Below are 25,122 nucleotides of genomic sequence, written 5' to 3'. Positions count from 1 at the left end.
TAATAGAGACCATTATATTATCTCATGAGATTATCTGCATCTAAATTAACAGACTCCTCTGCACTAGTGAACAGGGTGAATGCATTCATTTGGGTTGGGGTTGGGTGGGGTTCTTACCTTTATAACTCTTGTTTTTTTTAAAATGATTTTGGAGATAAAGCAAATAAAAAATCATTATCTTGATAGAGTAGTTTTAAATAAACATTTGATGGAATTATCTTTTTATTGTTTCATTCTTGGCATCCATTCAATAATAATGATGGTGGTAGTGATGGTGATGACTGTTGATTGCCTGGGGGTGCAAGAGCCTTACCTATGGCTGGTCTGTGACAGAGCAGGGACCCCAACCCAGTACTGCATAATTTTCTGTGGATATTGTCATCCCCAATTTCCCCATTAGAAACTGAGACCTAAATTCTAGTCTGAGATTCTTCACTTGATTATGTGCCCCTTAGCATAATCCTAGTTCAGTTTTAATAGTCACTCTGAAGGAAAACTTTTTCACAGGACTAATGACTCCTCTGCTTTCAAAGGGAAGTGCAGTGTGCTATCTCTTACTCTTATTTAAACTTATAGTTAGTTGGACAAGCAGGAGAAAAACTTGGGTAGCCATGTGACTCAATGGAAAGAGTGGAAGAAGGATTGGGGCAGCCCATGTTTGGGTCCTCTTTGCGCAAGTTATATAACTGAGCCTCAGTTCCTTTGTATGTGAAATGGGATAATAACAACTAATTTACATTTTGTTGTGAGAATTAGGTTATGCGTGTACTGTGTTCATAAGGGCTCAATAAGTGGTGGTTATTCTTATTACTATAAGCCAGTTTATTTGAACAATATTCCACTTTCATTTATTTATTTATTTATTTTTTGAGACGGAGTCTCGCTCTGTCGCCCAGGCTGTAGTGCAGTGGTGCAATCTCGGCTTACTGCAAGGTCTGCCTCCCGGGTTCATGCCATTCTCCTGCCTCAGCCTCCCACGTAGCTGGGACTATAGGCGCCCGCCACCACGCCTGGCTAATTTTTTGTATTTTTTTCTTAGTAGAGATGGGGTTTCACCGTGTTAGCCAGGATGGTCTCTATCTTCTGACCTCATGATCCGCCCGCCTCGGCCTCCCAAAGTGCTGAATATTCCACTTTCAAAGAAAAGAAAATCTCTCACCAAATGTCAGAGTATAGCAAATCCAAAAGATAAATCCAAAAGATTTTAGAACAAAAATTAGGGAAAAATATTAAAAGCCATTATTTTTATTTAAATATTTTAAGTAACAATTCTGATTCTAAATTACTACATAAAACATGAAGAAAAATAGAAAAAAATAAATTATCCATGATCCTTCAATCTGTTGTTAAGTAATATAAGTATCTATTTCCTTTCTCTTCTTTCTCTTTCTCTTTTCAATGTTTCATATAAACATATCCACACACATAAAAAACAAAATTTGGGTCATATTTTGTACAAATCGGTATACTGCCACTCCACATTATATTGTAAACATTTCCCTTATCATTAAATAGTCTCCGAAATCTTAAGTTTTATTGGCTGTGGAGGATGCTGGCTGTCGTATATCCTGTAATTTATTTAACCATTCTCTTCTTGTTGGACATTTAGGTCATTTTAAAATTTTCATTATTATAAATAATATTTTAGTGAACATCCTAATGCATAAATATTTATATGAATCTCTGATCACTTTCTTAGAATTATTTCTTAGGTGTCAAAATGTGAATAATTTTTTAAAATTACAGTTTTAAAAAGAAAGGCCATCATAGATGCATAATATATCAGCCACACTGAATTTCTAACCTCTTGGAACACAGTAACTAGTCTGGACTCCTGGTAGCAGAAGTTTTATCTTATTCATTTTCCTACCCTTTTTGTGTTCCAGGATATCTGTCCTATTAAGGTCAACTTGCTTGTGGCATGAATGAATAAATGAATACATATATGCTTTGAACAGGAGTTAATTGAGTCTAGACCTGTTTCAGATAGAAATGTGCTGGAATTAGCTCTTTCTAAGTACCATATATATCTAAGAAACTCTTGAAAACAAATTCATAAGCTTATATAATGACTATAATTCTTATTCCTAAGGATTTTTTTTTTATTTCCTATTTTTGAATATCCCAATATGCTTATCTGGGAGTAGGTTGAATAAATAATTTGAGAGTTCTTTTTCTCCATTATTTTTCCATTTTGCTGGAAGTGGAACATTTGGGGGACATTTCTGTATGTCTTATAGTTTAAGGAGATTATGGTAAAGGAATAAACATCACGTGCTTGCTCTTTTGGAAGGGAATTTAAAGGTCATTAAAGATAACTTCATGCTTGAATGCCCTTACCAAGGGGGTAAGCAGCTTTCAATACCTCCAGTAATAAGAAACTCACTATCTCCTGAAGCCAGTCAATTCATATTTGGACAGTTATTTTGTTAGTGAATTGTGCCAGGACTGAATTCTTCCTAATTTCTGCACCACCCCTTGGCTCACACTTAGCTCCTGTGCCAAGTCCTCTGCCACTTCCTCTTGCCTAGGCCCAGCCAGCTCTCTCTGGCCTCTGGCCCCTGGTCAGCACAAGGCTCCTGTCTGTATAGGAAGGGGGGTTCAATATACAGGAATCTGGGCTTCAAACCCAGGATTATTTGGTCAAAGCCAGGCCTTTTAAGAAATTATTGCTGGAAAATATACATATTTATCATGTTAAACATTGGCAACTTGCAATTCAGCAGCATTAACTATATTCACAATATTGTATAACCGTCACCACTATCTACTCCCAAAATGTTTTCATCATCGCCAACATAAACTTTGTGCTCATTAAATAACTCCCCATTCCTTCTCCTCCCAGACCCTGGTAACCTCTATTTCACTTTCCATCTATGAATTTGCCTGCTCTGTGTACCTCATACCGCTAAATAATACATTATTTGTTCTTCTGTGTCTGAAGCCAAACCCCTTTTTACTACAGCACCCTACCTTCATAGCATCGCTTTCTATCACTAATGCAATTTGTCTACTTAACCTTCTTAAAGTCATTTGAGTACAAGAGCTGTCATACTTTTACAAAGATCTCAAAGACTTGGACTACATGTCATTTGATCCAACAGAAAGCAAGGTAGGAGAAACAATGCATTTCTTTTCTTTTCTTTTCTTTTTGAGATGGAGTTTTGCTCTTGTTGCCCAGGCTGGAGTGCAATGGCGCGGTCTTGGCTCACCACAACCTCTACCTCCTGGGTTCAAGAGATTCTCTTGCCTCAGCCTCCTGAGTAGCTGGGATTATAGGCATGCACCACCACGCCCAGCTAATTTTGTATTTTTAGTAGAGACAAGGTTTCTCCATGTTGGTCAGGCTGGTCTCAAACTCCCGACCTCAGGTGATCCATCCGCCTTGGCCTCCCGAAACAATGCATTTCTTTGTTTTGAACCATGTACTCCTTTTAAGGCAGCTTTTTCTTCCTGTTGTTCCAGATTTCTTTTTATGAAAATATGAAGAGTGGAGAATGTGGCCTTCCACTCCCAATAGCAGGTATTCTAGTTTTTATTCTGCTTTTTAAAAGAAAATATCTCTATTATTTCTCCAATAAATTTGATAGCAACTTTTAGTTTAGAAACAGTTACTATTTATGATCTAATTTTTTATCATGAAATTTCAAGACTTCCCATTACTGTCAACTCCATAATCTTTCCTGGTATTACAGTTAAGCTCCAAGGCGTAAATAAATCTGCATACATTTCCATTCATCCTTCCTCTTTCCTCTTTTTGAGAATCAGATCTACAATTGTCCATTCAACTCTTCCAGCACTCCCACAGGTTAACAATAGTTTAGCATTCTTATTTGTAAATTTTCTCAGCATGCTGGATTGTTGTTATTTTATAGCATCTCAAGGCTCACTTTAAATCTCTTTACTAATCCTCAGCTTCCTTTTTCTGTAACCATATTTAGTCTACTATTTTAAGTCTGAAAATCACTATTCTTGGAAGAGAAGTAATTGCGAAAGTAATAGGGGAGCAGTTCTCCTTTCACTTTGTTATTCCAGCAACATGATGTCATTGGTGCCAAACATCTGGCTTATTTCTCCCTTGTGTTCCTTTTGTGCCTAACATAACCATTAGAATGCTTCTTGTTGTTCTTACAAATTATAGGTCTCAATCTATCTGTCCCTGTTTTTGGAGAGACCCAAAACTCTCTTGCATTTGTTCTTGAGGAGCCCCTCTTTCTTTTTTTTTTTTAATCCCAGCGCTTTGAAATCAGGTCATAATAGAACTATGTAGGAACCTCCATCCTTCCTTCCTTGGTGGAATCACCATCTGTGACTATACAGACAAAATTGTCCATAGTCTGCGGACAGATGGATGCTATTTGACTCTCATTCAGAACGCTCTTCCCACAGAGTCATGATGCTGTTTCTGCTGATTCTTTTGAAATCTGCCTTCTTGAAGTCCATGCTTTCTTGTCATATTTTCAGCGACTCTCTATCTGGCTATCAGAAATGTCAGGGTAAATGTCTTTTGTCTATTGCTGTTGGAATGGAGTGGGACAATTAACCAAAAGACCGTTAAAGTAGCAAATCATTAAAAGATACACATATCTTGAATCTTTTAACTTAAAATATGTTAATGAAACAAATATATTCACTCGCTACTCTTTGACCTAGGGCTAAGGTCTTTTTTTAAAGATTGCTTGCAGTTCCATATTGTCATTTTTGCATCATCTATAATTTTCAGTCTTAATTTCTTTTAAGTTGGGCAAGACCTTGTAAAGAAATCTGATGACAGAATCCATCTAGATCTGTATTTATAGTTGTTTTACCTACATGTAATTTAACAGTAATTATTTTTAGAAACTCTTTATCAAAACTTTCTAAAGCATATTTTACAGAGTGAAAAGCCTTGGATGAGTGGAGGGTGGTTAAGAGGGTTTCTGCCATGTTCTCTCATGACATCATTGATTTCACCCAAGGTTCATTATTTCACTTCACTAGCTGGTATCTCTCCAAGTAGCAGTTCCCCTGGTTACTTCCTCTCTCTGTAAAGAAAAATTCAGTGCAGGCAGTAACTTGCCAGACTTTCTGCTTTTAGTTTAGTCTCCAATCAAACGCAGTAGAAGTTTCCCATCATAACTGTTTCGTGCCTCTGTGCCAGCATTGTATACTAAATTAGGAACATATCTCTCATTTCTTCCATTTGGCCAGATAGTTTGTTAATATCTATTTCATCAATAATATGATTTCTTTTCCTCTTATTTAATTCTTTTTCGAATGCCTCTGTGTCCTCATTACCATCTAGGTGCATGGATTTTCACACAGGTGAGGGGTATTTCTTTACCTCCTTTCCTTACAGATATTTCTCTGGAATACACTAAATCCCAGTAATTATTATGAGATTGTATTTACCACCTTATTCTCAAGTTCCCATGCTCTGGCCTGGGCCTATACAACTAAAAGACCCTTGAGAGTATTACTTTGGGAACATTTTCCAGTTGTTTTCTGTAGGAATCTCATGGCTCCTCTCCCACTATTCTTTTTCCCATGACATTACTGCAGACCTTTATGACAACTGGTTTCATGGTTTTATATAAGCATTGCTTTCTTTACTGTCCTATACTAAGTTTAGAGACTGCTTAATAGTCTCCAAGATGTTCTTGTCCTCATGACATGTACTCCAACCCTACCCAAAGTCCATTCCTGCATTACCTAAAGGCATCAAACAGAAAATATCCTATTCACCACGTACCTCTTCATAGTTAGCTGTTCACTTTCCCAATATTCTCTCTTTTTCAAAGTCCTAACCATTGAGAGGAAGAAGCTACAAGAACGCCACCTGTGTGGCTGGGTCTTCTAGTCTTCAGCTTGTGACTTCTTAGATGCCAATGCTGCTTCTCTGTCTTCTAGCAGTGTGGTCATTCCCATAAAGACCCAAGTACTGAATCATGGACTAGTGGGCTTAGTATGTCTCAGCAGACTATTATAATCTAGAACTAGTCACCAGAAAGATGGACAACAAGCTTGACTGACCATATCTTATCTGCACAGAGCCTTTCACTATCACCAATGAGTGGTGACCATCATCCATCCTCTACCTCCCAGGGCAGCAGTGGGTTTCCTTTCACTAGTGGTACTTGGATATCTTCTGGATATGACTTCTTGATGCTCCATGTACACAAAGACAGCAATCAGCAACGTCCGTAGAGGTAATTGTATAGCTGTTGCTGTACAATGTGTCAGGGACAAATGTAGTGTATGATTTTTCCATATGTCTTTTTGCAAGATCATCCTATCCATCTTACCCTGTTTTTGTGATAAGCTTAAAATCCTGAGCTTTATTTTTTCCCTTTCGGTTGTACTCTTCCATAGTGAACTATATACTGTTATATCACCTCGGTGTCTAGTGCAGTGTGTTAGAAAACTTAGAACTTAATAAAGATTTTTAAGTTAATTCACATAAGCTAAAATTCCACTTATATGAGCAAAGATTTTGGGAGTCATTTTTAAAAATTTTATTTATTTATTATTATTATTATTTGCTTCTCTTTGATAACCTTGGTACTAAGATTTTTGGGGGTCATTTTTGAACAATAATTTGCAGTTGCTGAGTTATTAGTCTATGACTTGCTACATTGCATTCCTTAGCAAGTTGCAAATATTCAAGCAGCAAGATATGTGGTCAACTTCTAAATAATATGGTTGTTGCTGTTTTTTTCCTGTGTCATTCAGCATTAACATTATCCTCTGAACCCCAAATACAACCTCTTTGCTTCTATCAGGAAAATAGAAATTCTTCTCTAAGAAATGGCATTGGTGCATTGGGAGACTAAAGTTGCAGTGATCGGATGCCTATATTAATCCCAAAGAGTCATCATTTGAAAAATTGAATTTAAGTCTGAAATAAAACATCCATAAAATTGAACTGTAGTCTCTTTTCTTTACTTTCTCAGGCTAAACCCCTTGTTTTTCCATTTGTTGGCCAATGAAGGCTTCTCATGGAACTCATTCTGATCAAATTTTGTAACTGAAAATATTAGGCTTGCTAGTTTTAGAAGGGTTCTTCACAGACATCTAAATCGAAGTGTCTTGACTTGAGGTCAGGGAATGGGAAGCAGCAGAATTTTATGTCTACTATGTTTTTCTGGTATCCAAAGCTTTCAGCAGATCATTAAAGGGGCCTATGACCCAAAGCTAATCATTTTTATAGACAAATTATAAGAAGAGATATCACTTTCCAAAACAGCAAAATGCTAAGCTCTCATTCCGCCACTGATGTTCTTCTCTTTGCCTATTACTTTTTCCTCTTCTTGGAAAGAATAATTGAGGATTTTTATGGAACATCCTGATTTTCGAGTCACTTGGAGGTCCCTTTTCTCATATTCGATGTCACAAACCATAGGGCTGGCTGCGTTGTCAGTGCAGAGTTACAAGGTGAGTGTGAGACTGCTCCTACCAGCCATTGCCTCAGAGCTGAGTGTGGCCAGTTAGGTAGGCACATCAGCAGGCAGCGTCCAGGAGGAACCTGATTCTTTTTTTTTTTTTTTTTTTTTTGAGACGGAGTCTCGCTCTGTCGCCCAGGCCGGAGTGCAGTGGGGCAATCTGGGCTCAGTGCAAGCTCCGCCTCCCGGGTTCACGCCATTCTCCTGCCTCAGCCTCCCAAGTAGCTGGGACTACAGGCGCCCGCCATCACGCCCAGCTAATTTTTTTGTATTTTTAGTAGAGACGGGGTTTCACCATGTTAGCCAGGATGGTCTCGATCTCCTGACCTCGTGATCCGCCAGCTTCGGCCTCCCAGAGTGCTGGGATTACAGGCGTGAGCCACCGCGCCCCGCGGCATCTGTCAGTTTCATTTGTGTTCTTCCTACTATGCTAGAGATGTGGTCCAAAGCTGTTTTTGTATTTTATAACCCACAGATTGCATCTCTTTTAAATTGAAAACAACTAAATGGACTAAAAAAGTATAACTTTAATGCACACAGCAAGTGGAAAGATACGGTACTTACCAAGTTCTTTTTCTGATAGTTTATTATTGTGTTTCTTGGCCTGTATAACTTTCATTATGATCTCTATCAGCTCCCTGAGAAATTATTCTTCAGATCAATAATTTGTGTGTATTTGAGTAAATGATAACTCAAAGACTTCAATAAACTTTAAATTGTCTACTTAATTTGTTTTTTTAAAAAACTGTAGGCACAATTATGATACTATGCATTGTCTTAAGGTAGTTTCTGTTATTGGGTTATTAGGTATGGGAAGTTGAGTCAAGATTACTCAGAGAGTCGCAGAATGAGTGGCCGAAAAATTTGTTACAAATTAGGGCAAATATGGTCTCCTCTGTCTGAGCAGCTGATCTGCTACTGAACCCCGGTTGTAGCTGCATCTCTGAGAATACTGCAGCAACATGACCACAGACATCAATCTGTGTTATTACTTAGCATGGGACACAGGGAAACACTTCTGACTGGCATTTAGTAAACAGAGTAAAACAACTATCATTGTAAAATACATGTGTTATGCTTCCCCATCTCACACCCCCAGGTATCTAAATTCAGATCTATGGGATCTTTCCCAGGTTTTTTTTTTTTTTTTTTTGAGACAGGGTCTTGCTTTGTTAAAGCCCAGGCTGGAGTGCAGTGGTGCGATCTTAGCTAACTGCAGCCTTGATCCCCCAGGCTCAAGTGACCTTCCCACCTGAGCCTCCTGAGCAGCTGGGACTACAAGCAGGTGCCACCATGCCTGGCTAGTTTTTGTATTTTTTGTAGAGACAGGGTTTTTCCATGTTGCTCAGGCTGGTCTCAAATTCATGAGCTCAAGCAATCTACCTGCCTCGGCCTCCTAAAGTGCTAGGATTATAGGTGTGAACCACTGCACCCGGCTCTCCCACATTCTTTAAATGAAAGTGTTGACATTTTAGGTGTTTAACTTTCCTAATTTAGGGTGTTCAATTAGGAAAAGAGGAAGTCAAATTGTCCCTGTTTGCAGATGACATGATTGTATATCTAGAAAACCCCTAATTTAGAATAAGACTTAGAGTTGAGAGGGAAAGGATTGCCAAATAGTTTCAATTGCTTTAGTTTACTTTCCTTAATTTCTTCTGTCTTCAAACTCTTCTCCTTTCTTTTTCCTCCTTCTTCCATTTGTCAAAACTGTAAGTGCTTTGGGTACTGTCCTAAGTGATGTTCAGAGTCAATGCAATGTATATCAAATTTTCCCATAATGTGAACTGGAAAATAATTGGAATATAAGAAAGGATAGACTGACGTGTGTCCGGATGCCTTCTCTGTTGTACCTGTTTGCGGCACATTGCCCGCTTAACCCGCTAGGAGATGTAGGAAGTCAACCTGTTCAACACATCTCAAGCAGATCGAATGATGAAATGTTGATGATTTCACCATACCTTTTCCACTAAGAAATGGAATGATCCTCCTCATATTTTTGCAGCGGTTATCTATTTCATCTATTAACTGAGAATGCAGAGTGTGCCTGAGCATTTTTACTCACAGAACTAATGAAAAAAGTTAAAAAATTTTTATGCAAGTGGTTTGCTTGACTTTCTTGCAAAATGCTCATAGGAAGTTAATAGGAATCATATTATTATCAGAAGGTTTTAAGACAACACTAGTTCTCCCCCTAGCCCACTACCAAAATACACTGTGGTATACTAATTTACACAAATTAGGTTACTATATACTTGTTACTATGCTTTCATCACAAAAGTATTTAAAACCAACACATCATAGATTGTTTTCTTTCCTATATTTTAAAGCCACTCAAAGCTGAGTGGTATGGGAGAAGTCTGTGGTATTATACAATTTGAGGAATTCAAAAAGTTCCACATTACTGCCAGGCCTGCTAAAGTAATTTGGAGGAATTTATTTACTATCATGCTTCCTTGCTACCATTTACAATCACTGATTTGTTAAAACTAGATGTTTTGCAGTGGAAGTGGAGATTGTATTTAGCCTCTGAGGTCCAGCCACGGTTCTGCTGGTGCCGGCAATCCAGGGGTTTTGGCTCCTGGGGTCTCTTGTCAACATCATCTCTGGGTAGCCAGTTACCCCCAATGTCCTTTTTCAGGGCACAGGGTGTCTGGCCAGAATCCCCACTTAGCCCAGGACCTGGCCCCTTCACCTATTCCCTCTTATTCTGCATCTGGAGACATTGCCTTCTCACTGGTTTTGTCTCATCCCAGAAACAGTCTAAAGTCTTTCAAATTCAGAATCACCATCTGCTTATTGGATATTTTCTCCTGAAGATATTCTGAGACACTCCCGGAACCAGATATTTGTCACTGAAAATTTTAATTTATTCCATATTTTCCAAATGCCATAATGGAGTGTGGAGATACAAAGATGAATAGGATTTACCCCTACCCACCAGAGGTGTGCAATCTAGTGTGGGACACAGCGCTCTAAGTATGGAATAGTGATAGCAGCTAGCACCTATTGAGCCCTGACCTTGGTAGGTACGGCAGTAAGCCCTTGACATAACTTACTCCTTGTAATCCTAGCCAGTTCTGTAGGTATCAGTATCTCCATTTCCTAAATGAGGAAAGCAAAGCACAGGAAAGTTAGATAACTTGCCCACAGTTTTTCTGGTGACAAGTGGCAAAGCAGAGACTTAAAACCAGGCAATCCAGGGGCTTTAAGTGATTCTTAAATATTAAGTGATAAATGCATTTAAAATGTGTCCGGAATGGGCTTTGTGAATTCCAGAAAGGGAACTAAATTCTGCTTAAAAAGAGAAGGCTTCTCAAAGGGAGTAATGTTTGACTTGAGACCCAGAGAAGGAGAAAGGAAGGAAGCTTGCAGAGGAGCCTTGGTGACAAGAGGCATGCTCTATTGTGGGGACAGTAGGAATAGGGGAGAAGCCTTGGCCTTGTCACTTTCTGCTTTTTGGTTTATGCAGTTGTCTCTGCCTAAGATTTTTTTCTACCTTTGTTTCTGCCTCCAGTTACTCCCCCTGGAAGTGTCACTCTCTTTTAAATTCAGAGAGCCTTGTTTATGGCACTGATGTGGTGCCCAGTGCATTCTGCTTTGTACTAAATATGCTGTATCTCACCTTTGTGTCAGCACCAAACTGTGTTCTTTATAATTCTGCAGCTTCTAGTACATTTGTGCATAGTAGCAACTCAATGCACATTTGTTGAATGTTGAATGAATGCTAGTCAAGGCAAGACAAGCAAAATTCTCAAATAAGTCAAAATAATCCCTAATTATTTCCAGATGGAATGGTAATCAATTTGCTTCAGGAATAAATTAGCCAATGGATGTTTGATAACATAACCGACCCTAAGTAACTCGATTTAGCTGCTGAAGCCAGCTTTTAAAGATGCAGTTTATCCACTGGCCATGGGATATCGGCCATGATTACTGGAGCAAGCCCTAGTAATACAATCTTTATATAATAAATATAATCTTACTAAATGTCAGTGAGAATTATCTTTATATAATAAATACAGTCTTTAAAATTGTATTTATATTTGGCATTTATGCCTCTCAGCACTATGTAATTTCTTATTAGAAGTACACTTTAACTTGAGAATTCCATTAGAATCATTAAATTTTCTGAATAGAAAGCTTAACAGTGTTTAAAAATAAATTTTTAGTGGCTTCATGATGTCAAAACAATCACTTGAAAGCTGAAAAATATGTTAAACCTACTTTTGTATTTATGTCCCAGTTTGCTTTTTTCAATTCACAAAAAAAGATTTGACTTGATTACAAAGAAGAAAACACAGAAAGAGCAAAAAAGAAAAGAAAGATGAAAGGAAGGAAGAAAGGGAGACAAAAAAAGAAACAAAAAGAAAAAAAGAGAAAGACTGATTATCTAGTTGTTTTGTGATTAGGTAGACATAACTCGAGAATCTTGGAGCCATCCTTATCTCTTCCCTCTCCATTACCTGCCACAAACAACCCCCCACTAAATAGTAAATTCTTACTCCAAAATGTCTTTGATATTCCTTCTTTCTTATTCATTTCCATGTCACTGCCTGACTTCAAGCTTTTATGAAGCTTGAAGTTATATATCAAATTGTAACTGATCTCCTAATTCTCATTTTGTGTGTGCATTCCCCAAATCATTCTTGACATATCTGTGCAAATCTCAGCATGTCACTTTCCCAGTAGTAGGTATCCATCAGCTCCCTGTTAATCTCCATGACCAGAGATTCTGTCCACCTCTCCAGCCTCATCTTGTGAGCTTCTTTCCAATCACCTCATCCTTTGCCTCCTTAGCTTTTGCCTCGGCTGGCCTGATAAACCTCTACCTGCCTGCCAAGTTTCAGTTCAAGCCTTAGCTCTCTGTCAAGCTCCCGCAGTCCCTCACCCGGACTCACATGCTCCTTGCACCTGCAGTGGGTCAGCTGCTTTACATATATTGTACTCTTTACTTCTCACGTAGCTGTTTAAGGTGGGTGGTCTTTGTCTCCACTTTGCAGGTGAGAAAAGTGAAGCTCAGAGAGCTTAAGTAATTTGCTGACAGTCACACAGTAAGAAAATCAGTGGCAAACTGAAATACAAAGAACCTGAGCTCACTCCTCAACATGTTGCTCCTTGGCTTTAGCTTTGCCCACACCTGCTTTTATTTTGTTACGACGTTTGTCACATTTACTGTGTTTGCAATTCTCCATTTCTGCTACACTCGTTGAAAGCATCAGCCCCACCTTTCATCTTTATGTCTCCAAAGACCTGCACAGTGTCTGGCTCATGAGAGGTAGTTAAGAAATATTTATTAAGGTGATGAATGAACCAAGCAATATACAAACAATATACATATTCTTTTCTTTGTGGTGGTGTGGAGAAGAAAGGGAGAAGTAATAAGTTCCACTTTCTGGAGTGGAAGGGTTCTAGTGGGACAATAGAAGATTGTATGACCTCCAGAACCATCTTAAGAGTGATTTTAGGATTAGCTACTAAGGGCCAGGCACAATGGCACACACCTATAGTCCCAGCTAGTTAGAGGCTGAGGCAGGAGCATTGCTTGAACCCAGAAGTTAAAGGTTGTAGTACACTGTGATTGCATCTATGAATAGCCACTGCACTCCACCTGGGCAACATAGCAAGAACCTGTCTCTCAAAAAAAAAAAAAAAAAAAAAAAGAATCCAGCTATTAACAGAAGTCAGCAATGAATACCAAGGTCCTCAGTATTACATAATATTTATTGCTTCCTTGGATGAACTTATTAATTTCTTATAAAGAAATGCGCCCGTATAAGGAAGAAAGGAGCATAGGAGGAAAGGGATAGGATGGAGAAGAGTCTTGTAGTGTGACTTCATATAAGTCCCTCAGTTTCTTTACTTGAAAACATCTTTATATTAATCATGGGGATGAGTTTTATTAATGTGGGGTAGTGGGCTGAAGAATGCTCCCCAAAGATGTCAGGTCCTAATCCCTGGAACTTGTAAATGTTACCTTATTTGGAAAAAAGTGTCTTTGAGGATGTGATTAAGTTAAAGAACTTGAGATTAGGGGATTAAATGCAATCACATATATCTTTATAAGAGAAAAGCAGAGGGAGGTTACACACACACACGCACACACACACGCACGCACGCAGTGTGAAGACTGAAGCAATATGGAGTGATGCAGCCACAAGCCCAGGAGTCCCAGTAGCTACCAAAGCTGGAATAGGCAAGGAGTGGAGCCTCTGAAGGGAATGGCCCTGCCAGAGGGCAGGTGGGCCTGCTAACTCCTTGATTTCATCCCAGTGATACTGACTTAGACTTCTAGCCTCCAGGACTGCAGAGGAAGTTTCTGTTCTTTTTAAGCAATGAAGTTTATGGTAATTTCGTATAGCAGTGGCAGAAAACTCACCAGGAGGCAACAATACAGGAACATGAGAAATATGAGGCCTGACAGAGAGCTCCTTTGGATGGCTGTTCCTCCCCACTTCCCTTGGAAAGCTTGCTCCTTCACTCTCCAGGGGATCAAAACCTGGGAGACTGTCTGCTGCTGAAACTACACTCCCGGAATCTGTGAGTTCTCCTGTTGTTCTTTTTCCCTCAGGATCCTCCATTTCCAGCATCTATCATAGTCCAAGCAGAGCACATAAGCACTCTTTTGGAGTACATATGGCTTTCATGGTCTGGTGATGGAATCTGGGAACACAGTTATGTTTGGATGAGGTCAGTTCTGAGTGGCAAGCTCATGTTACTTAATTAGTTTAGCATAAGTGTAAACCTTTCAATAGACGCTTAGTTTCCCCTGTTTTTTTTTTTTTTTCATCTATCACAAAAATAGGTTGGGTTAGATATAGCTGTGGTTCGTCAGCTCTGAAATCCTGCAACTCTCTCACTAGTCTGCATTTGCCTTCACCTGTGAGCCTGTCTCCCGTTTGTCCCAGGGAAACTCTTCTAACATGAAATCCAAGTTGAGCTCTCTCAGCTATGTAGGTTCCTGGAAAAGGATTGGTTTTCATTCTGGATTTTAAGTCAAAACTTAAAAAAAAAAAAACCCTAACTCTTGACTTAGTTGGTGTCCCTAGATTCAGACCTTGAAATTTACCCAACTAGGCTTTCTTTTTCCCAGGTACCTATGTTGTACTCAGAACTGTGAACAAAGCTTGATCAAGCCAGTCTGAATTTTTGCAAATTTTCATCCCCCTTTTATTTTCACATTTAAAAAAATATATATATTTCTATGTATTAAATGTTGCTTGCTTTAGACCTTCCAAGCTCAATCAGATCAACGTTAGATTATTGCCCCTTTCTTTTATTTGCTGGATCTTATTATTTTTAAGACAGGGTCTCACTCTATCACCCTGGCTGGAGGGCAGTGGCACAATCATGGCCCACTGCAGCCTCAACCTCCTGGGCTCAAGTGATCTTCGCACCTTGGCCTTCTGAGTAGCTGGGACTACAGGTGCTTGCCACTGTGCCCAGCTTTTTTATTTTTATTTTTTGTATAGACAGGGTCTCACTGCATTGCCCAGGCTGGTCTCGAACTGCTGGGACTCAAGTGATTCTCCCACCTCAGCCTCCCAAAGTGCTGGGTGAACCACGATTCCCAGCCTCGGATCTTATTTTTTATTTCCCTCTGAAAATCTCTACCTCACAGACAGAAGCTTTGATTGTATGACAGCTGTAGTATGTGACATTTGCTAAAACTTAAAAAAAAAATGTCTGCTATTAAATGATGGTCTAAAAATAAATTTCAAATTGATTTTCCTTTTTTTGAGACAGATTCTTGCTCTGTTACCCAAGCCGGAGTGCAGTGGTGTGACCACGGCTCATTGCAGCCTTGAGCTCCCCGGCTTAAGTGATCCTCCTGTCTCAGCCTCCTGGGTAGCTGGCACTGCAGGTGCATGCCACCATGCCCGGCTAATTTTTATTTATTTATTTATTTATTTTTTGAGATGGAGTCTCTCTGTCTCCCATGCTGGAGTGCAGTGGCATGATCTTGGCTCACTGCAACCGCTGCCTCCCAGATTCAAGCGATTCTCCTGCCTCAGCCTCCTAAGTATCTGGGACTACAGTCATGCGCCACCATGCCCGGCTAACTTGTGTATTTTTAGTAGAGACAGGGTTTTACCATATTGGCCAGGCTGGTCTCAAACTCCTGACCTCGTGATCCACCCGCCTCAGCCTCCCAAAGTGCTGGGATTACAGGCGTGAGCCACTGCTAGTGGCCATTTATTTATTTTTGTAGAGATGGAGTCTTACTGTGTTGTCCAGGCTGGTCTTGAACTCCTGGCCTCAAGTGATCCTCCTACCTTGGCCTCCCAAAGTGCTGCGATTACAGGTGTGAGCCCCTGAGCCAGGTCAATTTCAACTCTTATTTTGGATTCAAGGGGTAGATGTGCAGGTTTGTTACATGGTATATTGCATAATACTGAGATTTGGGGTACAATTGATCCCATCACCCAGAGAGTAAGCATAGTATCCAATAGTTTTTTTAACACTTGCCCTCCTCCCTTCCTTCTCCCTCTAGTAGTTTCCAATGTCTATTGTTGCCATCTTTATGTCCATGAGTACTCAATGTTTACTTCCCACTTATAAGTAAGAATATGTGGTATTTGGTTTTCTGTTCCTGCATTAATTCGCTTAGGATAATGGCTTCTAGCTGCAATTATGTTGCTGCAAAGGACATAATTTTGTTACTTTTTATGGCTGCATAGTATTCCATAGTGTATATGTACCACATTTTATCCAATCCACTGTTGATGGGCACCTAGGTTGATTCCATTCTTTTATTGCCTCTTTCTTGAACCCATGATTTCCCATATGCATTCTGAGATCCCTCACAGCTCTCATCTTCCTCTTCCAACTTCCAGTAAAGGTTCGGTATGTTCCTGCTTCACACAATGTCAGGGAGGTCAGTTGGTTCTCAGACCCCCATCATTGTGAACCAGCATTGGCATTCACCAGAATACTTGGAACACAACTTTCTTATGAAACATTCTTTGAGTAGCTGCTATAAACCAGGCATTTCTATAGCGAGTGTTGAAACTTATGTTAGACTGTATAAGATTCAATTCTTGTTTTAAAATGTCATTGTAATAGAGAAAGTAAGATAACCACACAAATAATAATAAGATGAAGTGGGTGCTGCTGTAATATTGATGGAAATAGCCGCAGATACAAAAGTTGATAAAACTACATTTCATTTCCTAACAAGGCATTTGCCATGGATGTGAACTTATGAACATCAGTTTTCTTACATGCCCAGGGGTCTATGGAGGCCTTATTTGTGTATGAAGATGTGGTGTGGAGTAAATGATATAAATGCATGTGAAAGTGCCCAGCACTATCCCTGATTCATAGTAGGGGATTGGTCAGAGATTCTTAAATACCAGAGAAGGGGTTTAAAAGGAAGAAGAGATCACAGGTGGTTTGGCAGATCCAAAAGGGCTTTGCGGAAAATGTAGCAATTAAGATAGGTCAGACTGGTGGCTCCTCAGGGCAGGGACCTTCTGAATTACTTTTCCTGTCCTTAGTATTTTATAAATAGACTGTAGTGGATATATGTTGAGTGAATGGACCTTAAAGGATGGACAGGATTCTGAAAGGTTGAACTGGACTTTGAGAAAGGGCACTGCAGCAGGGGCATAGCAGGGATGGTAAGGTGTAGGTCATGCTGTCAGAATGGCAGTCTACTTTGGTGGGAGTGTAGGGAAGTAGTAGAAGTAAGAGTGAAATGTAAGTTGGGAATATTCTGTGAGTATTGAAAGTGCTTTCATTGTTAGACTGAGAGCTTGCACTTTATCTAATTACTCTTTAATTTTTGTGTCTCTAGTCAAATTTAGGAGGAGGAGATTTTTGTTATGCTTTCTGCATTATTGAGAGTTTACCATTATAATTGCCATCTGTCGTGTTTCTCTTTTTTGTCAGAAGGGTTGTAGGCAATCTTTGGCTGGGATAAACAGATAGTTTTTCTACTCACTAAAGAAAATAGATGCAGAGAGACTGGCACTAACAAGGAATAGAGAAGGAGATAGTTTTTTCTTTGCTTATGCCTAAATCTTGTCTTTGTTAAATATTATGTTATACATTATTCATAACTTTTAAGCTTTTAAAAAATCAAAATTTAAGTCAAATAAGTCAAATATACAAAAGAAAAGAATATGTGAGCCTATGACTTTCCATGTGTTCTAGACCAGGAGTTCCCAACCGCCAGGCCATGGACCAGTACCGTCTGTGGCCAGTTAGGAACCAGGCCTCATAGCAGGAGGTGAGCAGCAGATGAGCAAGCGAAGCTTCATCTGTATTTACAGCCGCTCCCCATTACTTGCATTACCACCTGAGCTCCACCTCCTGTCAGGTCAGCGGCAGCATTAGATTCTTATAGGAGCACGAACTCTACTGTGAACTGTGCATGCAGGGGATCTAAGTTCATGATCCTTATGAGAATCTAACTAATGTCTGACAATCTATCATTGTCTCCCATCACCCCCAGATGGGACCGTCTAGTTGCAGGAAAACAAGCTCAGGGCTTCCACTAATTGTACATTATGGTGAGTTGCAAAATTACTTCATTATATATTACAATGTAATAATAATAGAAATAAAGTACACAATAAGTGTAATACACTTGAATCATCCCAAAACCATCTGCCACCCCAACCCTGGTCCATGGAAAAATTGTCTTCTATGAAACTTGTTCCTGGTGCCAAGAGGTTGGGGACCACTATTCTAGATCATCTCAAGGAACATTTTTACAGCTTGAACCAGCCTTGTACATAACTCGTTTTATAATTAGATGCTATGTTTCAAATATTAGTAGCCCTGGGAGGGGTAACACTAATATTCAGAAATAGCTGGGCAGTATATGAGATATCTGGAGGAAGGGAGAACATGGAGAGGGTGCTAAAGACAAACTTGACTATAGTATTTGATGTGAACATGACCTCAGTTGAAAGTACACCACTATTTTATGTACCTTTAAGAAAAAAGTGCTGTCAATGATGTTTAATGATTGTGCTGCGCTACACATGAGTTGGTCATACTGGCTTCTTATTGCTTTGACATTTCCTGCCTTTCTTCTGGGATATTTGGCACTTTTGCCTGCCTTCTTGTATGGCTTGGCATAAGATAGACAATTCTTTGCACATGTCTGTGTAGCAAAATGCAACTCAACTTCATTTACCTTTTGTTATAGATCCTGTAAGACAACTGATTGCTGTTTGCAATAAAATACAGAATTGTGGTCATTCTTCCAAAGAAAAATATGTATTCCACTAATATCAAATTTATCCTCCAACTTCATTTCTATGCTTTTCTACTTATACAATAACTTTTTGTTTCAATGTTGAGTTACATGTAAAGACATATAAAATGGAAATGAAATTTAACACTATAAGTAAATCTTAGCTAAAGCGACAATAATATTAATGTGTATGACCAAGATTGTACACGTGCAACTACATCATGATAGCAACTAGTGGAAGCCAGTTATAAGACTGCATTGATTAAAGACATACTCACAATATAGAGAGGTTAAAATGAGGGCTGGGTGCGGTGGCTCACGCCTGTAATCCCAGCACTTTGGGAGGCCGAGGTGGGTGGATCACCTGAGGTCAGGAGTTCGAGACCAGCCTGGCCAACATGGTGAAACCCCGTCTCTACTAAAAATATAAAAACTAGCCGGGTAGGGTAGTGGGTGCCAGTAATCCCAGCTACTTGAGAGGCTGAGGCAGGAGAATTGCTTGAACCCAGAAGATGGAGGTTGCAGTGAGCCGACACAGTGCCACTGCACTCCAGCCTGGGTGACAGAGTGAGACTCAGTCTCAAAAAAAAAAAAAAAAAAAAGAAGAAGAAAAAGTGCACTTAGAAACAATGAAACACGCTCTTTTTAAAATGTGCCTGCAGACTCATCTACCTCATGCTGAAGTATTTTATCTAGCACTTAAGACTAATTGGTTGAACCACATCCCTTTATGGCTCTGGTTTTATGATGTACACTAATGTGTCATAAAACCATAATGTACATTTGGTGACCACAATCATCTTATCAAAGGGCTCTGCTGGAAGTGAGGCTGATGCATGAGCATCCATACCTTAAGCTCTGTTTTCCAAGTTGGTGGTTGTATGATTATATATAGAAGCGTCATGGTCATATTTGCCCTTGCTCCCTTCTACCCACTACGTGTACCAGTTAGGAGTTTATTTAATGGGTGTCGTATGATTTTCTTGTCTGGTTTACCTCTTGATGGTCCACATTTCATAAATCATATCTCCTCATATATACAGGAAAGCATATGTTGAAATCACTGAAATTACATAACTTGCTCCCCTTTGAATCAGTTTCCTTCTTATCACTTTGAACATGCTCATTTCAGGCATCTCTACGCTACGGAGTGTGCCCTACAAATAGAAATGTGGGAAACCTGCCAGGAGAAATTAAACTGTCAGTCTCCTCCTCTTCCAGATGAGGGTTGATAGATACATCTCTCTATGTTGTGGCAGCCTTCAATCTGAATTGAGCAGATTTCAAACATTTCTCTCAGCTGTGTACCTAGAGTTTAATCTCTGAAGACTTATTTCATTGCCGATCATTTGCAAAATGGATAGATTTGAGTCGTACCCTATCCATTTTTCTCCTGTCACTTACTGGTAAAATAAACACTGAGTAGGAAGTTGTGAAAGAGGATAAAGGAAAGCTCGGCAAACTGGATGGTCCTGAAAAGTCTGTAAGAGACACATGGAAGGTAAACAAGCTGGTTGCTTTTGTTCTGCCAGCTGAGGTCATTGGAGCATGAACAGGGAAACTTCAACTTGGAGCTGATGTCCTGATCCTTTGGAAGCTCTTTTGGGATGGAAGGGTTCTCGATTCCTGTTTTTGGTCTTACTCTTGTTACTGTCTAAGAGGGCTGTCTCTGTTCTAATCTGCTAGTTGCAGGCTTACAGTTGGTTAGATGATGAAATGTGATGTTTACAGCATCAAGCACAATGTTCAGTAGAAGTTTTGACAAATCCTCCTGCTAGAACTTCATGATAATTTGATCTATCAGATACATTTTAACAACCCTTTTGACCACACGTTAGTGGAGCTGATGCAATTAGCTAGTTCTTGTTTTATTGTTACATTAAGAAAAAAACCAAAATTTAAATTTAAATATACAACTCATGTGGTGGAGGAAAAAAGACATACTTTCAGAGGGAAAATCTTACAAGTGAGTTTTATGCTTAAAAACTGAATGCCTTAAAATTTATATATCTTCTTTTTTGGAGGTGAAAAAAATCTTCTAGGAAGTTGCTATTTATAAAAAAAAAGTGGCATAGACCTTCCTTTCAAACTTTAGAAAAAACTAGACTTATTAAATCTCACATGGTCAAAGGACAACACCATTTAGAAGCATTTAAAACATTATGATTTTGGGGTACTTGAACATTTGAATAGGAATAAAAGCAATTTTTTTAGATGGCCTGAATTGTTTTTTTAAGATTGGGTTTTTGGTGTGATAAAAATATTTTATTTCATGATTGTGTGGTAGTTGTACAATTATAAATACGTGTCAAACTCATTGAATTTTACTCTTAAACTTGGTGAAATTTTTGTCTGTAAATTATACTTTAATAACACTGACAAGAAAAATAAAGTATTTTGGGATTTAGAAAAGGACTGGCTGGGATTTCAAGGAAGGGAGTTTCTGTGGACACGCAATATGACACTAAAATCATGGATAGGAACAGAAATTATTTTAATCAAAAGCCAAATGTAATGAAACTATTAAGAAAAATGATTTAGTGACTGTATTTTACATGTTTATTATACTTCTCATTACATTGGGGTTATTTCCCCACTTACATTCATTTGTATGTGTGCAGGTAGAGTAGGGTGGGGACAAGGGGATGGGAGAGTGGGTGTGCATCACGTGAAAATGAAGAGGACTTGGGGCAGAGCAAGATGGCCTAATAGAAGCCTCCAGCGATTTTCCTCCCTGCAGGAACACCAAATTGTACAACTATTCACACAGAAAATCACCTTTATAAGAACCAAAAATCAGGTGATCACAGTACCTAGTTTTAACTTCCTATCACTGAAAGAGGCACCAAAGAGGGTGGGAGAGGCAGTCTTGAATTGCCTATACCACCCAGTCTTCCATTCCCTGGCAGTGGTCGCATGGCACAGAGACAGAATCTGTATGCTTGGGGGAGGGAGAGCACAGGAACTTTGCACTGGAACTCAGTGCTGCCCTGTCACAGTGGAAAGCAATGCCAGGAAGAACTCAGCTGGCACCCATGGAGGGAGTATTTAAACAAGCCCTAGCCAGAGGGGAATCACGCATCCCAGTGGTCAGAACCTGAGTGCTGGCAAGCTAAAGTACTTTGGGGTCCTAAATACACTTGAAAGGCAGTCTAGACCACAAAGACTGTAATTCCTAGGCAAGTCCTGGTGCTGTGCTGGCCTTGGAGCCAGTGGAGTTGGGGGACATGTGACCCAGTAACACACCAGCTGGGGTGGCCAAGGGAGTGCTTGCATCACCATTCCCCTAACCCCAGGCTGCACAGCTTGCATCTCCTGGAAAGACTCCTTCCTTCTGCTTCAGGAGAGGGAAGAGTAAAGAGGACTTTGTCTCACACCTTGGATACCAGCTCAGCCACAGTAGAATAGGGGACCAGGCAAAGTCCTGAGGCCCCCATTCCAGCCCCTAGTTCCCAAAGGACATTTCTAAACACACCCTGTGCCAGAAGGGAACTTGCTACCTTGAAGGGAAGGCCCCAGTTCTGGCTGGATTCATCACCTGCTGGCTAAAGAGCCCTTGGGTCTCGAATAAACATCAGCAGTACCCAGGCAGTACTTGCCATGGGCATTGAGTGAGACTCAGAGCTGTGCTGGATTCAGGTGAGACCCAGTACATTCCCAGCTGTGGGGGCCACAGAGAGAGACTCTTCTGCTTGTGGAAAGGAGAGGGAAGAGTGTAAAAGATTTGGTCTTGTGGCTTGGGTGCCAGCTCAGCTGCAGTAGAATAGAGCACCAGGTAGATTCCTAAGGTTTCTGACTCTAGGTCCTGGCTCCAGGATGGCATCTCTAGACCTGCTCAGGGCCTGGGGGGAACTCACCATTCTGAAAATAAGGACACAAGCCAAGCTCATCTTGCTATCTGCTAATTGTAGGGCCCTAAGGCCTTGAGCAAACATAGGTCGTAGGCAGGCAGTGGTTATCACAGGCCTTGGGTGAGTCCTAGTGCTGTGCCTGGCTTCCGGTCTGACCAAGTATAGTCCCAGTGGTGGTGGTCACTGGGTGCTTGTGTCACCCCTTCCCCAGCTCCAGGCAGCTCAACACAGAGAAAGAGACTCCATTTGTTTTGGAGAAAGCAGGGGACGAGAACAAGACTCTGCCTGGTAATCCAGGAAATTTTTCTGGATCTTATCCAAGACCACCAAGGTGGTATCTCTATGAATCTACAAGAGCCACAGCATTACCTAATGCAGATATGGCAGAAGTGACCAAAAACTTAGACTACAACACTTAAGTCCCTTTGAATACCTGGAAAGCCTTCCTAAGAAAGAAGGGTACAAACAAGCCCAGACTGAGAACATGACAATAAATACCTAACTCTTCAATGCCCAGACACTGATGAACATCCACAAGCATCAAGACCATCCAGGAAAACTTGACCTCACCAAAGCTAAGTAAGACACCAGGGACCAATCTTGGAGAGACAGAGATATTTGACCTTTCAGACAGAGAATTAAAAATAGCTGTTTTGAGGAAATTCAACAAAATTCAAGATAACACAGAGGAGGAATTCAGAATCCTATCAGATAAATTTAACAAAGATATTTAAATAAGTAAAAAGAATTAAGCAGAAATTCTGGAGTTGAAAAATGTAATCGACATACTGAAGAATGCATCAAAGTCCCTTAATAACAGAATTGATCAAGCAGGAGAAAGAATTAGCGAACTTGAAGACAGGCTGTTTGAAAATACACAATCAGAGGAGATCAAAGAAAAAAGAATGAAGCATGCCTAGAAGATCTAGAAAATAGCCTCAAAAGGGCAAGTCTGAGTTATTGGCCTTAAAGAGGAGGTAGACAGACAGATAGGGGTAGAAAGTTTATTCAAAGGAATAATAAGGCTTTCCAAACCTCAAGAAATATATAAATATTCAAGTACAAGAAGGTTATAGAACACCTAACTTGGGTTATAGGTTTAACCCAAATAATACTATCTCAAGACATCCAATAATTAAACTCTGATAGTCAAGGATAAAGAAAGGATCCTAAAAGAAGCAAGAGAAAAGAAACAAATAACATACAACAGAGGCTGGGTGTGGTGGCTCATGTCTGTAATCCCAGCACTCTGGGAGGCCAAGGTGGACAGATCACTTGAGGTCAGGAGTTCAAGACCAGCCTGGCCAACATGGTGAAGCCCCGTCTCTACGAAACACACAAAAATTAGCTGGGCTTGGTAGTGCATGCCTGTAACCCCAACTACTCTGGAGTCTGAGACAGGAGAATCACTTGAACCCGGGAGGTGGAGGTTGCAGTGAGCAGAGATTGCACCACTGCACTCCAGCCTGGGCGATAGAGTGAGTCTCGTCTTAAAAACAAAAACAAACAGACAAATAAAAAACATACGATGGAGCTCCAATATGTCTGGCAGCAGACTTCTTAGTGGAAACCTTGTAGGCCAGAAGAAAGTAGCATGACATATTTCAAGTACCGAAGGAAAAAAAAAATACCTTGTATCCTAGAATAGTATATCCAGCAAAAATACCCTTCAAACATGAAAGATAAATAAGAACTTTCTTAGACAAGCTAAAGGATTACATCAATGCCAGACCTGTCCTACCAGAAATGCTAAAGGGAGTCCTTCAATCTGAAAGTAAAGGGCGTTAATGAGCAAGAATAAAGCATTGGGAGGTTCAAAACTCACTAGTTACAGTAAGTACACAGAAAAAGCCAGAATATTATAACACTGTAATTGTGGTGTGTAAACTACTCACGTCTTGAGTAGAAAGACTAAAAGATGGACTGATCAAAAATAATAACTACAAGTTTTCAACACATAGACAATACAATAAGCTATAAATATAACAACAGAAAGTTAAAAAGTGGATTAACAGAAAGTTAAAAAAATGAAGTTAATGTATAGAGTTTTTTTTTGTTTTCTCTTTGCTTATTTGTTTATGCAATCAGTGTTAAGTTGTCATCAGTTTAAAATAATGGGTTATAAGATATTATTTGCAAGCCTCATGGTAGCCTCAAATAAAAAAATCATATAACAAACAAAAAAATAAAAATAAAGAAATTAAAAACACCACTGGAGAAAAATCATCTTCACTAATAAAATGGCAGGAAGGCAGAAAAGAAGGAAGAGAAGACCAAAAAGCAATCAGAAAACTAATAACAAAATAGCAGGAGTAAGCCCTTACTTATCAATAATAACATTGAATGTAAGTGAACTAAACTCTCCAATCAAAAGACATAGAATGGCTGAATGGATAAAACACAAGACCCAATGATTGGTTGCCTATAGGAAATACACTTCACCTATAATGACACACATAGGCTGAAAATAAAGGGATGGAAAAAGATGTTCCATACAAATGAAAACCAAAAAAGAGCAGGAGTAAACTATACCTATATCAGATAAAATAGATTTCAAAATAAAAACTATAAAAAGAGACAAAAGGGGTCATTTTAGAATGATAAAGGGGTCAATTCAGCAAGAGGTTATAACAATTGTAAATAT

General features: G+C 39.5%; 1 protein-coding gene and 1 long non-coding RNA gene across 7 annotated transcripts in view; both read left to right on the top strand.

Annotated features, from left to right (window-relative positions):
• NIBAN1 (niban apoptosis regulator 1) overlaps positions 1-25,122 on the top strand; it is a 183,477-nt gene that overhangs the window by 24,282 nt on the left and 134,073 nt on the right. The gene's annotated exons all lie outside the window — the stretch shown is intronic.
• LOC124904469 (uncharacterized) lies at positions 3,339-24,983 on the top strand. The gene is made up of 2 exons (XR_007066770.1): positions 3,339-3,523; positions 6,762-24,983. It is a non-coding gene; the product is annotated as an uncharacterized LOC124904469 (long non-coding RNA).

Source organism: Homo sapiens, chromosome 1, assembly GCF_000001405.40.
Source record: "Homo sapiens chromosome 1, GRCh38.p14 Primary Assembly".
Taxonomy (NCBI): domain Eukaryota; kingdom Metazoa; phylum Chordata; class Mammalia; order Primates; family Hominidae; genus Homo; species Homo sapiens.
The sequence above is the reverse complement of the archived record's forward strand: the minus strand, read 5'-3'. Positions and strand labels throughout refer to the sequence as shown.